We start from the raw sequence: 22967 nt of genomic DNA on the forward strand, positions 1-22967 counted from the left end.
GTTCCAACAGAGTCAACTGACCGAAGATAACTTTCTGCAGAATCTAAGACACTCGCCTGAACAATCTTATTGGCCAGAATAAAGAATAAGACACTGGTTCATATACATTTGGAAGGGTATGAAGTCAGTCAAGGGCAGACCCTCAAAAAGACTCATCCTTACTTCTCAGTCTTTAGCTAAGGCCATGATACAGAGGCTGAAATGAAGAAACTAAGATACAATCTGAGAAAAATACCCAAACTTTAAAACTTAAAACCTGTGCAAAAGTTGCTCTCCTATACCTTGGTCATGTTACTTACTGAGTTCTAATTTCTACGGTACCACTAAAAACTCTGGAGTGACCGTCTGTGAGCCATTAAACCCAAGCACAAACGCACACTTTCAGGGCTGTACATGTCTGCGTAGTTTTTGCACACATTGTTAAGATTATACTGCTGGCTTATTTTCTCTATATTCTCTTTTCTACGATAAAGATCATTTACATGCAACATTAAATTTCAACTTTATATGGGGCAATTTTTGAGTGGATTGATCATAAAGCCGCATCTCTGGCAGGAAAGACACTTTTCAAAGTAGCCGTTCTGAGGCACTCCACTCACTAAAACCATGAGAGGGACACGGCAGCAGTGTATGCAAGGGCATCGGCTCTAGCCAAGAGGGCCTATCCCCACCCCCACTACTTTATCCTTGGGCAAACCACTCAACCTCAAGACTCAGCTTCCCCATGCATGAAACAGGGATAATAATAGAACCTACATTTTGTAGGATGAGCAATGCATCCTAGAAACAGTGATCAACAAATGGAAAGCTCTCCATAAATGATATTTTTTATCACATGATTCTCAGTAACCTCGACTCCAGGACTTGCTGGTGCTTACTTAGAACACCACAATCTGGCAGAATCACCTGCACATATGACTAGAACTGGCCTCCTGTCTCCTTGCTACTTAGAGGTCACAGTCTGCGTCTTCTGTGTATATTGACTACGAGTTTCTTGATGACATAGTGGTCACACAGAAACATCTATTTGTTTAGTGCTTTGCTTTTGGCTGCTTCCAAATGTCTGTGGATTGATCGATGCAGATCCCAGAAATGTAATCATTAGTTGCCTGGCTAAAGAGGTTTCTCTCTGTTTGTTTTTATTAGAAGTCAGTCCTCTGAACCTGTGGTTTGCAAACTTTCTTTTTGAGCATGAAACACTGTTTACAGAATCTGACAAACAACCCCAGTTCTGCATAGGAAACAGATGAAAGCAGAACTGTACTGGTAAAAAAAAAAAAAAAGTAGGGGGTTGAGGAGGGTCCCCTTGGCCCCCATCACCTCCAGGTAGCTCCTAAAATGTCCCTAGAAAGTGGAACACTCTGTGGAACAGGCTCAGAAGGGCGCTGATCTAAACCATCCTTCCAATTTCCATCTTATGGCCTAGAAATGCCACTCAGCCCGAACCCTAAGAGGCTCACCGGGGCACTCCTGCTCCTCATCTCACGGCTGCATCAGTAACAACAGAGGCAGAGCCCACAAACCACGATCTTGTGCTTCCTAAATGTTCCCAACATGGCTGTGGGCTGGGCAGACACACAAACCCTTCCTTTCTTTGTTTTACTGACTACACATTGAGTTACATCAACTCCCCAAAAGCAATGTCCTAGGACCACAGTGTTTACATGGCTGTGCCAGCCAGCACACATGACGTCTGATATCATTACTCTGGGCTTCTGGAGGAGCCATAGTGCATTTACACTTCTTTATACTCACTGAGCAGTGGCATGGAAACCAAGGTCAATCCAATCTATCAAAACCTCACCAAAATTTTAAAATAATTTGCAATGAAAATGCCTTTCTCATGGTGGAATACACAGTCCTTCCAATGTCTGTGAAGTACCAGCACAGTTTCCACACGTATGAAATATTAACAGGGACAAAAAAAAAATTGAGAAATTCAGAGGAGGGGATCAGGATAACAAAGCAGCTGGAGAAAGTCATTGCTTCAGAAAGCACCAGGACTAGGAAGCAGGCCCCGCCTCCTCGGTTTAACTGCCGCTCAGCGGAAGCATGACGTAGGTCTCACTGTGGGAACCCAGAGGTACAGGGGGCCTGTTCAGGGTGGTCTGAGGGAGACTGGCCAGGAGGGTTGGGGCTGGAGCCAACCAACAAAATATCCCAACCCATCGTGAAGAAAATATTTCCTCCTCAGGAAAGGCCGCTACATCTCCCCAGGGAATGGCTGGAAGACTCCCAGCCTGAGTCATTCGGAAACAGATTTACAAAGCACTCGGGAGGATCCCGAGGGAATGATCAGGCCGAGACGGAGGAAGAGCCTTCATGACCAAGTGGGTCTTTTCCAGCTCCAGCTCCCATGACTGCAAGGTCCTTCTGGTTCTTCCCAACTCACTCTGGCCAGCACGGCTGTAGCATGACTGTCACGATCCTTGGCTCTGAGTGTTTTAAGGCCTGGATGTGGCGATGCAGAGGCCTCCCAGCTACGGTACATAAGCTACAGTCTGCACTTCCACGTAAAGAGCTCCACCCGGCCTTGGGGCATGGAGAAGGTAGTGGATGTTGTATCCAAGGAGCTGGTGCTGGCCCAGGCCCAGTCCCAAGCACTTGCCTGTCCAGCCTCCGTGGGGAGCGCCCACCAGCAGCCCTCTCACATTTCTGCATCTCACCAAAGGCCTGCTGAAAACAGGCCCCCTGTGACATCTGCTAATCAGATTTGCCCCTGGAGCCAGTAATAATTAAACTTGGTCTATGAAAGGAACACTGGAAAGGTCTCCCATCCCACAGCTGGTCAGCAAACAGAGCAGAAGGGCCGTATCTACAGCCATGTCTGTGTAAATCTTATTCAGCTGTCAGAATGAGCCCTAAGTGACACTGGTCACCCTCACAGGTAGCTGTCAGCCCTTGGAAAGCTGTTGCTGGGGGCAGCTATGAGGGCTAGAACTTCTCCCTCAGCTCCCCTCACCTTTCCTAGGCAGCACTGGCAGACTTATGCTGGATCACGCACCCTGGGATTAAATGCCATTTTCTGTGCTGTTCCTCATGTGCCAAACATATTATGTGCTTGTTAACTATTCACCTGATTCAGGTTTCTGGAAAACTCCTATCCAGAAATTTAGATTTAAACCAGAAAAGCCTCCTAGAAAGTATCAGATTAGATAAGAAAATTGTATTTTTCTGTCTTATATCAGCATTTCTATTGGGTGATACTGCTTATGTTGGTTGTATCTGTTAACTATTGTTGAGTAACAAAGTGCCTTAACATTTCATAGCTTAAAATACCTGATTATTTCTCACAATCCCAGGGTTCGGCTGGCTGTTCCTCTGCTGGTTTCTCCTGGGCTGGCTCACGATGGCTTTCAGCTAGTCAGCTGCGCAGGAAGGCCCACAAAGGCTTCCTTCACGTGTCTGGTCATGAATGCTGCCTGCCAACAGGGGAACCTTGGCTCTCCTCTGCAGGCCCCTTATCCTTCTGGGGCGAGACTGGCTTACTTACACAGAGGTCTCAGAGCAGAGTTCCAAGAAGGTGAAAGTGGAAGTAGTCAGACCCTTTGAGGCTGAGACTCTAGAACTTACACAATACTTCTGCCACATTTCAGCCATGAAGGGAAGTCAGAAGGCCAGCCCAGACCCAAGGGGCAGGGAAATAAGACTCCAGTTATTAATGGCAGAGTGAAAAAGAATGTGCAACCATTTTTAACCTACCACATGTCAGCATCTCCCCAACTGGGTCAGAGTTATAGGAGTTCTGGGGCAGGGCCATAGGTACTCTGAGATCAAAGCAATCCCAGGACAGACACTGAGTCCTGTATCCCCTTGAAGAGCCACAACACACATTGGCATGCTGAAGACTCTGAGTAGCCCTCCAATAACAATAAATTCTGCTCGATTTTCTTTCATCAGGAGTAAGTTTATAGAGGCGGAGGAAGACCACTTTCCTGTAACACGATTTTGGAAAGTCTGGTCATGAGTTCTGGATTTTTAGAACAGTTCCAGTTGAATATATTTTGTCTTGCTGCCTTAATACATGTCCCATAAATGTTGCATCCATGTCTAAAATACCTTCCAATATGTGGAAGTAGCACACAATATGGTAATTCCTGAGTGGGGGTTATGACTCTAAAGGTCACCACAGTGCAGCTCTCCAGTAATTAGACATTAAGAAACTTCCACTCAAAATCATCTTGATCCTTGAAAAACTTTCCTAGAAGTTATATGCAAAAAACTGGGGGTTGTTTTCTTCAGGTACAGTATTTCTGAGCATTGACAGAAGTCTTGATTCCTACAGAACAAATGTTACAATTCACTCTGAATAAATTCCACGTTTGAAATTCAATAACAATAAATAATATAACCCATAGTGGATCAGGAGGCCAAGCTTGCACACAGGCTACTGGACCACTAGCAAACCACGCTACTTCTTACCTGCCTGTTGGCCACCAATCTGGAGCCTCCCATACAATTTTCTACTCCTTTGAAAAGAAAAGGCTCATCCATCTTCACAACCAGGTTCTCCACTTTCAACAGCCATGGCACGGAAGACATTGAACTAATACTCTAGTCATGAGAACATGATGATCCCAATAGTGGGTGAAGATTCATGAGAGGAGGGCAAACTCAAACCAAGGATTCAGGCCGTTATGAAGAGAGCTCTCACAAGACCAAGAACAGTCAAGAGCAGTCTCAATTCAGGGCCCAAACTCCAAAATAGTCCCTATGCATGGAGAGGGAGAGCGCCGGAATGCAGTGAAGGCACAGGGAGACACTGGATGCTGAACACAAGACTGAAAAAGGATCCTCTTTACTTCTGTTTTATTTATTTTTATTTATTTATTTATTTATTTTGAGATGGATTCTCACTCTGTTGCCCAAGCTGGAGTGCAGTGGCATGATCTCGGCTCACTGCAATCTCCGCCTCCCGGGTTCAAGAAATTCTCTTGCCTCAGCCCCCTGAATGGCTGGGATTACAGGTTCCCACCACCAGGCTCGGCTAATTTTTGTATTTTTGGTAGACACGAGGTTTTGCCATGTTGGCCAGGCTGGTCTGGAACTCCTCATCTCAAGTGATCTGCCCATCTCAGCCTCCCAAAGTGCTGGGATTACAGGCGTCAGTCACCGTGCCCAGCCATACTTCTGTATTTATTCTCATATTGGACAGAATGTCTGACAAAGGGAATAGAGAGAATTTATTTTTATCTTGCTGCTGAAACAGCTTCTTAGAATTAGTGATTCTTACCTCATTCACTAAACAATGGTGATTCACCAAAAGACAGAGCAGTCAGTGGCCAATTTACTAACTTGGACTCAAAACATCCTACCATTCCTTCTTGGGTGTCAAATATTTTTAAACCCTTTTCTTACATTGTAAAATCATCAGGGAAACATCTCCTGGAAGCCTAACTGCAATTTCAAAGGATGGAATAAAAGTGAATCTAGAGGAACGGGGAATTCCGTGGGAAAAAACACCTCATAAATGATAAAAGAGGAAGTAGAAATTTCTAAGGAATTGTGAGTGCATTGGTCTAAGAAATAAACAAGGTAACTTCTTGGAAGAGTTCCATAGCAAAGTCATTTGGGGAGCCTTTTTGAGAATGGCTGAACGTCAAATCTTATGGGCAATTTTGAATTTAAAGAGCCAAGAGATCAGTCAGTCCAAGACTTGGTGAGTTGGTAATTGGGCCTACTGTCCTGGGGGTTCCTAGGTTTGTATCTGGGGGCCACTTCAGCTCCTGGTCCTAATTCACCCTGAGAAATGGCTCCAGGCCCTGGACACCACCTTGAGCTGTCTTTCCCTCTAACAAGGTAGCTATTCAATCAGAAATAAAAGACTGTTGGGGCTCAGAAAACAACACCCCAAAACGAAGCCCTAGCAGCAGCCTTAGAAACATGAAGTTATTCTCTTTCTCCTGTCCTCCTATGTCTCAGTCCCAGTCTCCTGAGGCAGGCCACAAAAACTAGAATCCCACTTCCCCAAGGTGGGTTATAGAAGCCAGAACCCCCTTTCCCAAAAGCCAGCCATGAAACCTAAAAATATTCTATGTAAAAACTGGCCTTAAAGAAATTTTCTGATCTACCTTTTTTGACTGTAGGTCCTAAGACCCTCATTGCAGAGAGGGTACTGCCCCACACCCAGAAGAAAGGAATGCATGCCCAGAGAGGCCAAGAGGAATCTAGACAGGCTAGGTTTCCCCACTCAAGCTATTAGCATTAGATCATACCCTCTTGTCAAATCATATATCTACATGCCTGTTCATACTCTGTTGAACCTATGCACAAAAATGGGCAATTTCCCCTGTATCTTTGGGTCTTCATTCTGAAGGCACTCGTGTATACGTGTTTAATAAATTTGTATGCCTTTCCTCCTATTAATCAATCTGCCTCATGTCAGTGATTTTTTTTTTTTTTTTTGAGACAGAGTCTCGCTCTGTTGCCCAGGCTGGAGTGCAGTGGCGCGATCTTGGTTCACTGCAAGCTCCGCCTCCCAGGTTCATGCCATTCTCCTGCCTCAGCCTCCTGAGTAGCTGGGACTACAGGTGCCCACCACCATGCCCGGCTAATTTTGTGTATTTTTAGTAGAGACAGGGTTTCACCGTGTTAACCAGGATGGCCTCGATCTCCTGACCTCGTGATCCACCTGCCTCGGCCTCCCAAAGTGCTGGGATTGCAGGCGTGAGCCACCGCGCCTGGCCATGTCAGTGATATTTTTAGCTAACCTTTGGGGGCCAAGGGCCCCGGCCTCTACAAGACAAAGACAACTAAAGGGATTTAGCTGCTTAACGTAATAAGGGGGAAACCTGATGCCAACTTATTCCTTTGTTTCCTTTCTCAATCCATGTACTGAAGGATTCTAAGAGCAGGTATGCTCCTCTGGCACGGCCAAAGGCACCAGCACACTAATGCTATGAGAGAACTACTGCAGGGGGGAAAGAATTAGGGAAAAATAAGCATGATCAATTCTGTGTACTATTAAATCTAGCTAGATGCAGGGGATGTAGCACATTTGGGACTTGTTGGAATGATAGAAAATATATGGCAAATAAACAATAAATATTTCAGGTATAATATTGTCCAAGTGCATAAAGCGTGTCAATTTCTCCTTCAACAAAGCGTCACGGGCTATACAGAATCGCCAACCAGCCATGTAGCACAAATTGTTGGTTTCGCTATCCAAACGCCACACCTTTGGGACTTGGAACCCCACAGAAGTTCTGCAGGCTCCATTAATCATCCTGCACCTAAGTTGTTCCTACGATGGCAGGATGTTTGGTGGAAATCTGGATGTGAGTCAACAGAAATGGGTTCGCCACAAATGGTGCATGCCTTTGGACATTCGTGTGGAAGAAATGGTAAAAGCAGGGACAAAGCTTTCAGAACTTTCACAAGGTGACCTCTCCTGCCTACCTTCACAACTTCGCCACCTCATATATCTGTCACCCCAAACCACTCACTACTTCCTGACCACACTCTGCACTTCCGCATCTCCTTGCCTTTGCCCACACTCGTCTCTGCCAGGACTGCCATTCCCCTCTTTCATCCCTTGGCAAAAGCTAGTCATTTTCAAGGCCCAATTGAGAAGTCATGGCTCCAGCATGCCTTCTCCAGCTGGCAGAATTGTTCCCTCCTCTGTCCCCAATATAATTGGTTGACCACAGCAGCAGTGACTTCTCTGCTTGTCCTCTCATGGCTGGGTTGGGGGCCTTTAAGGACAAGGACACTTTGGTACTGTTGCTCTAGCATCACACAATAGCTCTAAGTGATTAAATATCTGTAGTGTCCAGATCATATCCCCTCACCCACTACATGACAAGAATGGAAGAGCTGATAGGGTATTAGGATATATTTTCCAGGTTGTATCAACAAGGATTCCGCATTAATAAAATAGGAATAGAAAACACACAGCGCAGAAGGATTCTTCAGGTCCACTGACAGCACTGATTCCACCTTCTTTCCTTCCCCAGGAATTTCCCCAAGTAATGAAGGTAGCTCTGCTCAGACTTGGCTGGCCACAGACTTCCGTCAGATTTTTGTTTTCTTCCAGATCTGACTACATGGAAAAAATACCGTAATTTCCTTGTGGACCTAGTTATAATTCTGTAGGCTGATTAGCTCTGAGGAAATTTCAACCCTACAAGGAGCCCTGACAATTCAGTTGTCCCATTTGTGATTATAATGGTTTGTCAGTGTTTGTTGTTGAGGCACAATATGTCATTTGGGGAGCAACATTTAGACACCTCTCCAAGATTCTCCCTGCGTTCCCCATTTCAGGATCAGTGGTATCAAATTCTTACCTCTTTTACATTTACTCCAGCATTGATCAGGCGCTGATCTATTTTAAGTACATTCCACTGGAAATCTCTGCATGTGCTTCCTTCCTGACCACTGAAGTGTCTCGCTTAGACAGACTTGTCTATCAGTGTTGAAAACTTACGACAGTGCAAGGGGCAGACACTGTGCGCGCCTGCTGCACCTCAAGCCCCCGTTCCTGCACACGCTTACAGCGAGCACCCAGGACTTCCACCTGAGGGCTCTCTTTTGGCCCCACAAGGAGTTGGCCCTTAAGTGCTGGTCTCAGAAGTGGTTAGTTAACGACAGAGAGGAGTTGGAGAGGACATATCCCAGATCTTGCTGGCCCAGCTGGGATAATTCTGATGGAAGTCTCATAGAATTCACTAGAGATGGAGCCTCAGGTGCCCACAGCAGCAATGCCATCTCTTTATTGGCTCTCTTCTCCTATTTCACACCCCTATTCCCTTAACAACGTTTTCCAGGTTTACCTCCCAAGTCACCTACTTGCACTTGAATCCCTGCTGCAGAATCTGCTTTTGGGGAACCCAACCTAAGAAAAGTACCAGACTAAAGCCACTTGATACAGATAAGGGAAGGCAGACCCAAGGGCAGCCCCATCATCAGGTATAGGAAAGATTTTCAGCAAATAAAACACTGCCATGGCTTATTCGTGCTGAGGAAACTTTCCGTGTCACAGCCATAAGGAGCCTGACAGCCTCAGGAAGTGAACTGAGCTGTCTCAGATCTTGGGGAATTGTGTGTCATATGTGTTCTAAAAACGGATTGGATTTCAGGGGCCATTTCCAACTTCCATGGTATTAAATTTCCTTTTATTCTTCCCAGCACCATATTTCCAATAAGCCCTAAAAAAACTTACCCCTGGGGAAGGATATTTTGCTATATTAATAAAGTCTTTGAATCCTTAGGAGACAAATCATCATATTTTCATCTCAAAAATATTAATTTTACTCCCTTAAAGAATCTTATGAAAATATTTGTATTTCTTGCCTGAGTTCCCTGGGAGGTAAGCTGAAAAACTAGCTAATAAAGGATAATTCCAATGTAACCAAAAAAATGCATATTGAAATATGGAAATAATTAAGGTCCCAAGAAAACATCAAGTCTTCAAATCAAAGCCCTTTAACTAGAAAGTATTGTCCAGGGACTCACATGAATACTATACATTAGACAGTATTCTAGGCATGTTTTGATTTAAACCAAGCAAGGAGGTAAAAACTTAATTTCTATAAATGGTAAATTAATAGGTGAGAATTCACTCCATACAGAGAATTTAAAATAGATTCCATTAAAGTAGCATACTCTGCAAAATATCAACTTTCATTTGTTTTAGAGAAATCTAGTTTATCCATTGTGTAAGACTATTTCTAATTGGGAAAACAGACATTCACTCATTCTGGAAGTGAAGCCTGGACTAAGAAAGGAGGAACATGGAAGGAGGAAGGAGGACAGACAGGAATTCATAAAACCAATGGGATGTGGGCAGAGGGGGAAAGAGGTATTTCTGGTAGATGGGGTAAAAGGTCTTTCTACTGGAAGTGGGGACCCAGGCCACAGGGCCAGTCAAGAGAGAAGGAGAGTTTCACTTGGGGGCATGCTAAATTAAAAATGTCAGTGGGACACCAGGGGAAGACCCCAACAGGCAGCTGGCTGGATGGGTCTGCACCTGGAGGAGAGGGTCTGGCCTGCAAGTAGCAGCTGAAGCCACAGAGTGGGCTGGAAAAGCCAGAGGATGCGAAAAGGTAAGGGAGAAAAGGGGACCAAAGATGACCCAGAGACCTTGATGAAGGGGCAGGCAAAAGAAGTCAGCCAGGTAGACTGAGAAGAAACATCAGGAGAGGAGAAGCAGGTGAGAAGCACTTCATGGGGTCCATGAGCCAACATGTTCTGTTTCTTCCTCTTCTTCTGACAATAGAAGTTATACCCTGTCTGCCCTGAACAGGCAGAGTGGAATCAAAAGTACCAGGGCAGGATGAGGGTGACAATGAGGGGCTCATGAGGTGTGGGTGAGGTGGGACAGGGGCACCCACTGGGCAGGGCTAACTTTCCAGATGGGGGCAGTCACAACCAAGAAGCCACATGAGAACTTTGAGCTGTGTTCTCTTTGATACTTCCACACCTGACTTCCCCTCAAACGTAGGACACTTTTGTGTGAGTTAACAATTACAGAGCATACAATACATGTAAAATTATGCATTCCAATAAACTTTTCTAGGAAAATGGGCCAAGGTCATAAATGTCACTATTATCATAAATGAGAGTTTCACCTAAAGGACAAACATGAACAAACAATTCAGAAAAGACAAACTTCAAACAACTATTCTATTTAGGAAAACATTAGATGTGGTCAATAATAAAAACAGTAACAAAATGAGATGCCATTCTCACCTCACAAACTAGCAAAGACTTAAGAACTGATAACTCATTCCTGATTAGGGGGACATACAATGGGTGCTCTCTTATACTGCCAATGAGGGCCCAACTTTCCTGGAAATATTTTTTATAACTAAATAATAATATCCATAAAAGGATATTCAAGGTTGATATTTAATGGTTTAAAAAAATCAGAACTCAAATGTCAAAATTAGAAAGCAGGTTAAAATGGTTTAAGATATACATCATAAGACAGAATACTGAAGATTTCTTTAAAAAAGGAACTTATAATGACATGAGGAAATATTTATAATATTAAACAAAAAAGTAACAAAATAAAGTTATATACAGAGTAAGAACTCAGTTATGTAAAGAAAAGAATGTACAAAAAGGGATACTCTTAGGAACTTGGACAGTAGATTACCAGTGGTGACCCCTAAGGGAACTGATTTTTTCCCTGCATGCTTATACATTTCTGTATGAACTTGGGTGATTTTGATAACTGGGGGGACAGGTCACACATAAACAGCTTCTGGCAATCCTTTTTTTTTTTTATACTTTAAGTTCTAGGGTACATGTGCACAACATGCAGGTTTGTTACATATGTAGACATGTGTCTGGCAATCCTAGTCCAGCCATAATAATATATATGTAAGGGCTGTTGCTTGGCTTCAAGAGTATACCAGTGTTCAAGGTCACCAGAGAAGACTGAATGTGACCTTTGGGCAGGTGAAAAACCACCTTTGCTTTAAGATGTGCAGATGATGTAAATATGCAAGCATACAACACAGAATACCACAGCACTGAAAGAAAGGTATAGCTTCTAGGGGTTTGCCCCAATGACTTTCTCTGCAACCATTCTTTTACCAAAATGCCTGCCAGTTTCCAGATGAATAGACTTAATATACCTGATGTGGGACATAATGGCCCAAAACTGGTGACCCTGACCTTGAATGAGAAGTCCATGAAAGCACTTGACCACCACCCTGCACTGTATCTTTCCAATCCACAGTCACTCCATGAATGCTAGGAGAAAAATGGATCGGACTTCAACTGAATCACAGATGTAGTCTGAGAATGAAGCAAGGAGGCAGAATGTGGTGGCAAGGCAGCCAGAGGAGACCAGCTCTTTCAGACCAGTCACATTAGATTCCTAACATGACCCTGAGTCAAAGTTGCCTTCATTACGTGAAAGAGATGTAAATTAACAACAGGAAGTGTCCACCTCCTAACACCACTTGGCCACAGTTATAGAACAATTTGGATCAAAATCAGGTACGTTTCCAAGTTCATTCGGACTTGCCAAATAGCCTTAAAAGCTTTTCACAGATTGTTCTGGGATGGTAACATAAGGTACAGAGATGAGGCCAACCCCATTTTTAGAGGCTGCCTGCTACCTTGGCTCTGTAACATGTGCCAAGTGGCTGGCCTGTGGCTCTGGGGATGCCAGTGCGAGGGGTGTCTAGAAGGACAGGACCATTGTATGACTAACGGTTCCACCCAGCATCAGAGCATGAAAGAAAGCAAAGATTACAAAAACTTTATTGCAATTTGAATTGAATTAATCCAAGAGAATAGAGATTAAATCAATATTTAATTCAGTAGAGGTCAGTTTCAGTTAGGGAGTCATGATGACGTTTCAAAGAGCAGACACGGTATTTACAGGGGCAGCATCTCAGAACTTCAGGGATACGCTATTGCCTTCTTTAGTGGCAAGCAGGGTTTGCTGTGGTTTGGCATGGGAAATTATTTTAAATAAGAATACTAAATAAAAATATATACAGCTATTATTTACCTATGTTAACAAGCTTCATATAAAAGCATACATTCGTTATACAGGGATGATAAGGGGACACCCCTACACGATCCCAGTGTACGCTCATTCATCTGAGTTCAATTAAACCACCTTCCTTTCTGGGAGCAATTTTTAAAACTGGATTGTTAAAATAAAAAAGCTTTCTCAGGAAGGATCAGGAGGATTCTTCATGCAGATGGAATGACAACAGGAGTACCAACTGGAACCAAATCTACCTGCTGGGAGATTTGCATATAGCCTTTTTCATGGACTTCCACTGATCACAACAAAACTATACATTTTTCTTTTCAGAGACAGGTCTTGCTATGTGGCCCAGGCTGGTCTCAAACTCCTGGGCTCAAGCAATCCTCCCACCTCAGCCTCCTGAATACTGGGATTACAGGTGCATGTCTGTGCCAGGCTTATACATTTATTACGGGAGATCCAAAACATCCCTGTGGACTAATCTGATTGGATAGAGGACCAGAATTCTTTGTGCAATAATCCATCAGACAGAAGGCCAGAATCTACCGGAACATGGGCACTCCGGTCACATCAACACTGAGAAGAGATCTTTTCCACCGAGGGAAAACATGCATTCTTCTTAAACCTCCAGGCTTCACCTCCTCTCCCCAGAGCAGATGACTTTTTTTCCCACTGCTCAAAAGAACTGAGCCACAACATAAGAATTCTCTTAAGGCCTATTCCCTGTATTTTCAGCTTACCTATGGCAGTGCACCTCCTGTGCCACAGAGAGCTGCCCTGTTCCTGTCCAAAGCTAACTCCCTGGGTACCTGCCTCCATGAGGCTATGTTTCATCAGTCGGCTGCAGCCCTGCCCACCCTACTCTCCCAAACTTCCCTTTTAGTCCTCATCATTTCTTGCCAGTGATGCCTTCCTATCTGCTTTCCTGGCCTCTGGTCAGCTGCTCCAGTGGTGCCTTCTTAATGTTCAACTTTACTTTTTGGCTTAAAAGAAATTTTGTGGCTTCCCAAATTATATTATTTTGTGGCCATACTCCCAAATACTTACAAAGTGGATGTTATAGTTAAGCCCCCATTCACTCTTCAATTTGACCAACATTTACTGAGCAAATATATGTATCAGGCACTGTGCTGGATAGTCTATAATGTCAGACATTGCACTGGGCATCGAGGATATACTACAAAACTCACACCTGCCCTTGTGAAGTTTATAGTCCATCAAGGGAAGCAACTTTTCATAGAAAGAGAATACCCCTGCTGGAGAGAAGCCCCAGAAGTCTTCTGTGGGATACGACTAGTTAGAAGTCTCATCAGAAAAAAGATACATTGTCAACATGCAAGTAACAAAATTAGAAAATGACAAAAAGAACTACATCCATTTTGTCTTCACTGCATTTAATTACTCTGATTTGTTTTGTTAAATCTTGAATATCACTGTCGATTTCTACTTTACCATTTTTCCCCTCCCAGGACCCTATATTTGGTCCAATTTACCATCGAGTAAAGGGAGAAGGTTGTTACACTTTCTCTTAATAAATGCTTCCTATACCTATTGACTGCTTCCAAATCGATGGTATAAATGTATCCTATACTCTAATATTGGAATTTAAGAAGATCAGTATCATAACAATTAAACTGTGCAAGGAAAAGCCACCTTTCTTCAGCTAAAGATTCTTCAAAAAATTTGATAATGGTTTCTATTTAATATAGAAGTATCAATCCTGCTTAATTCCTAGACAGAGCTTTTAACTGTACCACCCATCTGCTCAGTCTGGAAAAATACAACAATGGCGATGTATTTGCTGTGGTTATTACACGAAAGAATACAGGCATCACAGACTGAGTACACACAATCAAAGAATTTTAACAAGAAAAGCGGCCAGTGTCGATTGGCACCAACTACAGAGGAACAGAATGACAGAGAATAGCTATCCTCACCACCATCACCTCATAAGGGATGTGGCCTATCCTCAAACCCAGACAAGTATGATTCTGAATCAAACACTCTACCCACTGCCTCTCAGAATGCACATAAGTGCCACTAGGGCATCAATGTGAAACAAACATACTGATAACCTTACTTATATTACCTTCTCATGTTTCCTACAACTGCTGCCGAAAACTAAGCATCTAGCCAGCAATCATGCCCTTGGCAATATATCTCCATATTTCTGGTACCATGGTAAGAAGACAGTGCTGAATCACCATGGGTAATTAAAAGTCATTTTGTCCTAGATGACTGTTCCTAAACTGATCTCCCGGGGCATAGCAGTATGTGACACCAGGAACATGGCACCTGCAACAAATGTCAAAGTCAACAATCATGAAGGAGGGGGATCATTTAGCTGAAAACACTGGTTTCATATCCTAGGGAGTGGTTGTGAGGGGAAGGCTCTGAGGGCTCCCCTTGACAGCTTCATGAGGCAGTGGAGGCCAAAGGACTGCAAGGAAAGTAAAAACAGACCTTAAGCTGTATTACACAAGGCTTACGTAACTTGTTTGCTATGCATTTTTTCTTTTTTTCCTCCCAATTCTGAATATTTAAAACATTTCTCAAACCTGTTAATTGTCAGACTATGAACAAAACCTTAAAAAAAGAAAAAACCCACTTTCATAATCTTCAAAAACTAATAAGGAAAATAGTATTTTACTTGATAAATTAGAAACTATCCAATTTTATGGTACTCTAGAACAGCACTGTGCAATAAAAATATTACTGTAAGCCATGTGTATTAATTAAAATTTTTAGTAGCAACATTAAAAAGCATAAACTAATTTTAATAAATTTCATATAACTCAAAATATCTAAAACATTATTTTGACATGTGATCAGCATAAAAATTATTAATGGAATTTGTACATTCTTCTTTCTAATACTTAACACTTCAAAATCTTGTGTATTTTGCACTCATTGCACATTTCAATTAAGGCTCAAAATTTCCATCAGGAATAATTGATCTGGTTTAAAATTTATAAAATTTACAGTAGAAAAAGTAGAATCACATATGAAAGTTGTTCCAAACATACTTAAACATTTTCCAAAAACTGAATTAACTCTCAGTTCTAAATTTTAAAGTAAGTAGAAAGAAAACTTCAGTACCTCAGTCGCACTAGTCATATGTCAAGTGCTCAGCAGCCACACGGGGAGATGCTAACGGGGAGACTACCGTATCGGATGGTGCAGGTATAGCGCTTTCACTTTGCCCCTTCGGCTAGAATTCCCCTAGATGGGAAGAGACCTGTCCCCAGTTCACTTGTGAAGAGAACCCAGGAAGACCAACTCCCAGTGCTGCGTTCGCCCATGAGGGAGTCCCACCTTGTGGGGTCATCCTCAGTTTATTCAGATCATCTTCCCTGGTCCAAACTTGCATAACATGATAAAACGCAGCTCAACAAGACACGGTTCAAACATGAGGGGTTTTAAAACTGTGGATATTTTTTCATGTCTGATTCTCGGCTTCCCTTCTTATGTCCTAGTGAATTTACGAGCATGTTTACTGAGATTCATTAGGTGCTAGTTCTGTATGCCCCAGTCTTCAAACAGTACATCATTTACTCTCAGAGAAATCAGGTGAGATAGGTGAGAACGAGACAGGGTGACAGTCATTTGCTCGAGGACATTCACCTAATTATAAGTGGTTAGAGCAGGGATTTAATCCCAGAGAGTCTGGATTATTAAAAAGCATGCCTAGTAGAGGCCCCTTATGCTAATCACCCACCCTAAATTCACACTTTTCAAAGCCTTCTCACAATTCTCATGGAATAGACAGGCAAAACTGAGCAGGTATTACCCTTGCCACTTTGCCAGTGAGGCACAGGTGGTAAGAGATTCCCCCAAAGAGGCACAGAAAGAGCCTGGCAGAGCAACCCCTCAGACTCCACATGCTGTGCTCTTTCCATGATACCCAGTGCCAGGGAACAGGCAGAGGAACACCTGCTGTTTACTACGTATCACACGCATTCCCATCTTTTTGTTGGTCAATCTTCCCACCACTTTGGGAAGAAAGGATTATCCATGAGTAGAGATGAGAATTCCACATGGTAATGAAAAGTGCCCTAGGTCACAGAGCCTGCTGGTACCACAGCCAGGGTCCCAATCCAGGTCTGTGTCCACAGAGACGGAACCTCTGCCAAGGACCACCTGACATGAAGGCTCACCCCAGACTGCAACTGTGCTCTTTGCTCAAAACAAACCTTCCACCAAGTTCATATAATGCGACTGACTACATAACAGAAAGCAAGATCACCAACATGGCGAAACCCAGTCTCTGCTAAAAATACAAAAATTAGCTGGGCATGGTGGCAGATGCCTGTAATCCCAGCTACTTGGGAGGCTGAGGCAGAAGAACTACTTGAACTGGGGAGGCGGAGGCTGCAGTGAGCCAAGATCATGTCACTGCACTCCAGCCTGAGTGACAGAGTGAGATTCCACCTCAAAAAAAAAAAAAAAAGAAAGAAAGCAGGATCAGATTGCTCTACAATTCAGACACAATTAACTCAGAATGTCTGTTCTTGTGTTTGTCTGACTTGATAAAGTGTTACTGTATTTCTATGGGATGAATTCACAACTTTAAAAAAAAGACAGAGAAGGCTGGTTTTATTAGGTTAAGTATTCAGAGAGGGGCATTTCAAGGGAACACACCACCTGGATCCTGAAGGCTTTGGCAGAATGAAATTGGCTTTTCCCCAGAGCAGGATTAAACAGGCCAGTCTGGCAGTGACCAGGGTGACAACCCACAAAGGGGGGACTAAGCCATTACTGGGAAACACATGAGAAGTGTAGGGCCTCTTCACTCGGGTTTTCACATGCAGCTCCTTAAATAACAGGTAAAATGAAAATCGCTCCTGCTTCCACTCAGGCAGACAGTGCCTGGGAGTAGAAATAAATGCCCCTCCCCGGCACAGGCCTGCCTCCAATGAGAATATCTACAGTTGTAGAACTCTATGAGCACAAACCAGACCTCACTATCAACCCCAGTGTCATCTAGCTGACAAGCATCTGAAATTTTGCATCTGAACAGCACATGGCAGTACTATTAGCCAAACTTTAAACAGGTTTATGAGCAACTGGTTCAGAAAATCACATGTAATAAGTTCTTTAATTTCAACATACAGGCAAAGGTATATATTTTTATTAATAATCTTTATTAATAGAAAATTAATTTCTCCCACCTCCACTAAATAAATACGGAGTAGATAAAGATTATCAGTTTGGGCCGACCATGGTGACTCACGCCTGTAATCCTAGCACTTTGGGAGGCTGAGGTGGGCAGAGCACTTGAGGTCAGGAGTTCAAGACCAGCCTGGCCAACATGGTGAAACCCCGTCTCTACTAAAAATACAAAAATTAGCCAGGTGTAGTTGTGCATGTCTGTAGTCCCAGTTACTCTACTCAGGAGGCTGAGCCAGGAGAATCGCTTGAACCCAGGAGGTGGAGGTTACAGTGAGCTGAGATCACACCACTGCACTCCAGCCTGGGTGATAGAGCCAGACTCCACTTCAAAAAAAAAAAAAAAAAGATTATCAGTTTGATAAGGTGCCAATGATTAGCCTGCTCAGGACACCATCTGTCTCAGGTCAGCCCTGGCATTCCTATGAGAAGGAATTCTGCTCAAATAATTTCGTAACACACAAGTATTTACAATTCCTGTTTAACAACAACAACAAAAACCTCAAGCTTCCTAACCTAAGCAGTAGAAGTTGTTAGAACAACTTAACATTTGAGGAGTCACCAGTTCATTTCATAACATAAGAGCAATTTTTCCTTCCCTAGAATCTGCAAGCTAAAAGACTTTTCTACAAATGAGACGGTATCTGTGAAAATGCTGTGTGCAAATCCCTTCAACATGGCAGACCCTCCTGGAAAGGGTGTCAGTCAGTCCCAAATCCATACCTTGAGCTGGCTTCTTTGGGCTGAGCCGAACCTCCAGTTTATAATAAGACCTGAGAGGACCTGGCTGAATAGGCTTCTCCCTTGGGAGAAGCAGGGCTGGATCAAAGTCTTTTGGGACAATTATTTGACTATGTACTGCCTTGATTTTCTTAAATGTGTACTGTACAAGATTACTCAACCTCTATTATCGTCACTAATATTTTCAAAAAGTGACCTTTATAAATTAGAACCTGTAGAATTAATCATAAATCACCTATTAGTCAACTGTTTTTAACTTTTATTCCCACAAGCCTTCCATATGAGCTATCACTGAGTAATAAAATTGGGTATTTTTAATCGGCTATCTCTACTTTCTCTGAGAGAAATGATAAAAATGATGAAATGGTCCACAGAGAAGCTCGAAAGGAAAGACAAATTCAGCTATGCCTATTATAAAGAGCTCTGAAACTTGGGTATGAATGGTGACAAACAAAGCATGTCAGAATTGAAGTGTGGCAATTATAGCATTAAATTCAATATCATTTAAGAAACTTCACAGGGTTGTTTATAACATTTATGTATGCTGATCCAAGTGATGTTTCTAGCCTTTAAAAAATTAGTGCTGACCACACAGGGTTCAAAAGTTTGAAACACTGCATCTTTTTCAAGAAGTTGCCATTCGCTGGAAAATTGTTTCCAAATAATCACCAACAATAAGGTCATGTGATTTCATTTACTTACCTATTTATATCTGTAGGAATGCTGGGAAGTCTTAATGAACAACTTCAGAAAAATGCCACCTGGAAAAACAAATTGAACAAAGAGTTAGATTTTAAAAACACATACACACAAAGAAGACTTAGCATGCAATTTTATATCTCATTAAAATATGTGACGATTCAAATATTGGTCCCCAGGCAGCACACAGCTCAACTTGCATTAGAACACGGCCACTCCCCCCAGGAACACCGACACACGAACACAGGGTCCAAACCACTGATGAACCAGAAAAAGTAAAAGGCCAGGGGGGAATGTCCAGCTTGTGAACATGTACCTAATTACATCGTTTCCTTTCCCCTCACAAGGGGACCAACTTAAAAATACAACTTGTGTCCGGGAGGACACTTTATGAATGACCATAAAAAGGCTCAAAAATCCAGAAACAAATTAAGAAATAAAATACAAAATTGTGACTGAAAAAACTATCCTAGCAGCACTTTATATCCTTTTCAGTTACGCTGGTTAATGTTCTAAAGCTAAATTCACAAAGATGTCAAGACTGGGAAAGTGGAAAAAGGGCCATTTTTAGAAAAACCCTAACATAGTAAAAAGAAAAGTTGAAAAGTAAGAACTTATTAATGATTAGTTTATTTAGAAATCAAGGATTCCTTTTGGTGGTCTCAAAGTCTTTAGGGAACCTTTAGAAAATTATAAGCCTACTAATACATTCACAAAACAGAGAATCCTCAAATATCTCTTCAGCATTGCTTTGAAATATTAAACATAAATGGAACAAATTTCTAACATAAAATGTCACAATTACCATTTGTTGAAAATCTGTCATGCACCTGGGACTGTTATAGGAATATATTACAACCTTTCTAGACAAAGATACCCATTAACAGATGGGGAAACTGATGTTAAAAGAAGTAGAGAACCTTCCTCAATACCATAGGATCCAGGGTTTCCAAACACGCCTTTTTCCTCCTATCAGATAATCTTGCTCTTAAAAGAATCTCTTCCACTCTACAAAGCCTATTCATCACCTCCCCTGATAGAAACCACATATTCCTTAATGCAAACTCTAAAAGAAATTGGCTAGCAGATGACTAGCCAGTTAGCTTTTTCTTTTTGCACATTTAAAAGTAATTTCTTCATTTAAAAATGATTAGGCTTATGTTATTTAGGACTATAAGGTAACACTGTATACGAGTAAATATTTAGAAAAAAAGCATTTTGAGTTCATGAGATATTAAAAATGTAATTGGGGTGTATAAATATGTAATTCCACATAAGGTAAATTAAACAGAAAATATTCAACAGCCTCAATTCCACTGATAAGCAAGAAAACAAGAAGTCCACATGCTTATTTTCTATAATCAAATTTTCAAATACAGCCATGGGCTAACAATCAAAATCTGTAATATCAAGCTACGAATGTCCACACTTATATGCAGGTAAGTAGCTTAATATCAGCAGCACCAGTGTTAATCCAAAGTGTACCTGAGGTTGAAAAGCCAACAGTGGCACAAAGGCCACTATCTAAAAACGTCATTTTAGTTTAGTAATAAACTTGAAGATACTGGACAACAGTCATTGGGTTTCACTTTAATAAAAATATACAAAAGAATTCTGAATTCATAAAGTCCTTTGTTATAACAGTTAAGGAAACTAAGACTTTTTTTTTTTTGAGACAGAGTCTCCCTCTGTCACCCAGGCTGAAGTACAATGGCACGATCTTGGCTCACTGCAACCTCCACCTCCTGGGCGATTCTCTTGCCTCAGCCTCCTGAGTAGCTGGGATTACAGGCATGTGCCACCACCTCCAGCTAATTTTTGTATTTTTAGTAGAGACAGGGTTTCAGCATGTTGGCCAGGCTGGTCTTGAACTCCTGACCTCAAGTGATCCACCCGCCCCGGCCTCCCAAAGTGCTGGGATTACAGGCGTGAGCCACTGCGCCCGGCGAAACGATGACTTTTTAAAAATGGTTCTTTGTTAACTTAATTACTTGCTAAATTCTAAACATTTCCCACAATTTTATTTTACCCTTTAGGGGAAGTCATGATCAGTATTTTTATCTGGAAATGGCTTCTGCGAAATATGCCACTAGGATTATTATGAATGGGTCTGTTATAAATGGAGTTCTTGATCAACATTTCCTTATTTCTAAAAGCTAAATGAGTCACAACAAAATGAGTCACTTCAACCTTGGTACTGTTCAAAATTCAAAGATAACATTTTTTAAAATCTCCTTTTTTTACATATAAACCAAGCAAAGCTCTGGACAGTTAAGACAGTCAAGACCCTAACAGTAACGGAAAAGGCAGAATTGTATCCCAGTTCCCACCTAAAGCTTTCCAAATTCACACTGACAGTAAAAAGCATTTTCTAGAATCAATTAATTTGACCCAAAGCTTTGAAAATAACAGTCATTTAGGAATAGGTTCTTAGTATCATGATTAAGCTTTTCTGACAAAGAAGTAATATCTTGTGAAACCACCAGAGTAGTCAGGAAGATAAAAACATGCCAGTTCTGTTCTGGGTTTGGTTAGTTTACAGGGTGTGATTTTCATTTTTTTTTTAAATATGCTATTTCGAAAATACAGTATACTAAAAATATACTAAGTCACAGAACCTTCAAACATTCACCTAAAAAGTTAATATATCAGGACTGTCAGGCATTGTTCTATGTATTAGAACAGTGTCTTTATTTCTAGTTTTCATCTTGGCATCTGTTTTTTAGAAACATTGGTCTGTTACTACTTAAAGTTTATGAAGTAATAAGAGACTAATGTTTCTGAAAAACAATTTTTGTGAATTAACTCATTTGCTTTCACAAAACCCCTGAGGTAGCTACCAGTATTATCCCATTTTAAGGATGAGGAAGCAGGCAAAAAGAAACTTAACCTTACCAAAAGTTACATGGCTTGCAAGAAGTGGTGTTAATATTCAAATCCGTATACATGATCACATTTTATCCTAACAACTATATAATGCAAGCAGGAGAGAAAATTTTGGCCGCATTTTAACTATGAGGGAAACAAATTCCTGAGGAATAAGGGCTGGCTTCCTCAAAGGCACACAGCTAGTCAGTAACAGGGGTCAAGAACTGCTAGGGGCACCTACTGCTAAGGCTGTACTGCTTTTTCATTTGTTCATTTTTGTCTTGGATACTATAATCAACGTGTAAAACTCAGTGTAAAGAGTGTGTTTCCTCTAATCACTGAGAAGACACTTCAGGATCCTCTCATGGGATGTGCTGATGACAAGAACATCAATTAGAGCACATACAATGGTATTCTCACGCTGCCAGGTCACCTTTTTTCCATTTTCCTAAATGCAAATATGGGTTTTTATTCACTTACTGGTTGTTAAACACATGGGTTCATGTAAATATTGGTCTTTATCTGTATATATGTATATTATTAATCTGCTTGGCCACTTACAGTGCAATCAAAGTAGGCACTGTTTATTCCAACAAACATTGTAAATAAAATTAAAACTACCGTGTTTTTGCACATTAAGGAGTTAAAAAGTCTTCGCTTCCCATTCATCTCCATTTGGGCTGCATGCCCTTCTGTTACACTTCCGGATGTCAGGAGAAACAATAGCTGCCTTTAGTGCCACACAGAGAACACGGCCCCCACGTGATGGGCACCAGCACTTATTTATTGAATTGAATTGCCAAAAACAGGAAGCAGAGTTGTAAGACCCCTTTTATCAGTTACAGATTGCTAAGACTTGAAGTGCACTGATTTGAATTGTTTCATGTTACTCTGTAAAACTAGAACCAAGGAGTGAAAATTACCTTGGAAATGACAGGGGTGAATTTCAGCTGAATGAAGAAAGAACTGTGTAATAAACAGAGTTGACCCGAGGTGGTCCAGGTTGCCTCTGGGGTGGGTTAAGAAACAGTAAGTC

At 41.9% G+C, this 22967-nt stretch overlaps 1 protein-coding gene across 6 annotated transcripts in view, besides 3 other annotated features; it reads right to left on the reverse strand.

Annotated features, from left to right (window-relative positions):
• LHFPL2 (LHFPL tetraspan subfamily member 2) overlaps positions 1–22967 on the reverse strand; it is a 163543-nt gene that overhangs the window by 60517 nt on the left and 80059 nt on the right. For 5 of the 6 annotated variants that reach the window (XR_007058567.1, XM_006714515.3, NM_005779.3 and 2 more), the window contains one exon: positions 19067–19125. The gene's annotated coding sequence lies outside the window, so the exon portion shown is untranslated. Of the gene's footprint in view, positions 1–3279; positions 5161–19066; positions 19126–22967 lie in introns of all 6 variants that reach the window. The other variant, XM_047416606.1, reaches the window with a different exon arrangement.
• Positions 1246–1405: an enhancer, noted in NCBI's record as "active region_22710". NCBI's record gives its function as "activates an Ori minimal core promoter by ATAC-STARR-seq in GM12878 lymphoblastoid cells {active_cell/tissue: GM12878}" and the evidence as "EXISTENCE:reporter gene assay evidence [ECO:0000049][PMID:35858748]".
• Positions 3624–3673: an enhancer, noted in NCBI's record as "active region_22711". NCBI's record gives its function as "activates an Ori minimal core promoter by ATAC-STARR-seq in GM12878 lymphoblastoid cells {active_cell/tissue: GM12878}" and the evidence as "EXISTENCE:reporter gene assay evidence [ECO:0000049][PMID:35858748]".
• Positions 3774–3823: an enhancer, noted in NCBI's record as "active region_22712". NCBI's record gives its function as "activates an Ori minimal core promoter by ATAC-STARR-seq in GM12878 lymphoblastoid cells {active_cell/tissue: GM12878}" and the evidence as "EXISTENCE:reporter gene assay evidence [ECO:0000049][PMID:35858748]".

Source organism: Homo sapiens, chromosome 5 (assembly GCF_000001405.40).
Source record: "Homo sapiens chromosome 5, GRCh38.p14 Primary Assembly".
Lineage (NCBI taxonomy): Eukaryota > Metazoa > Chordata > Mammalia > Primates > Hominidae > Homo > Homo sapiens.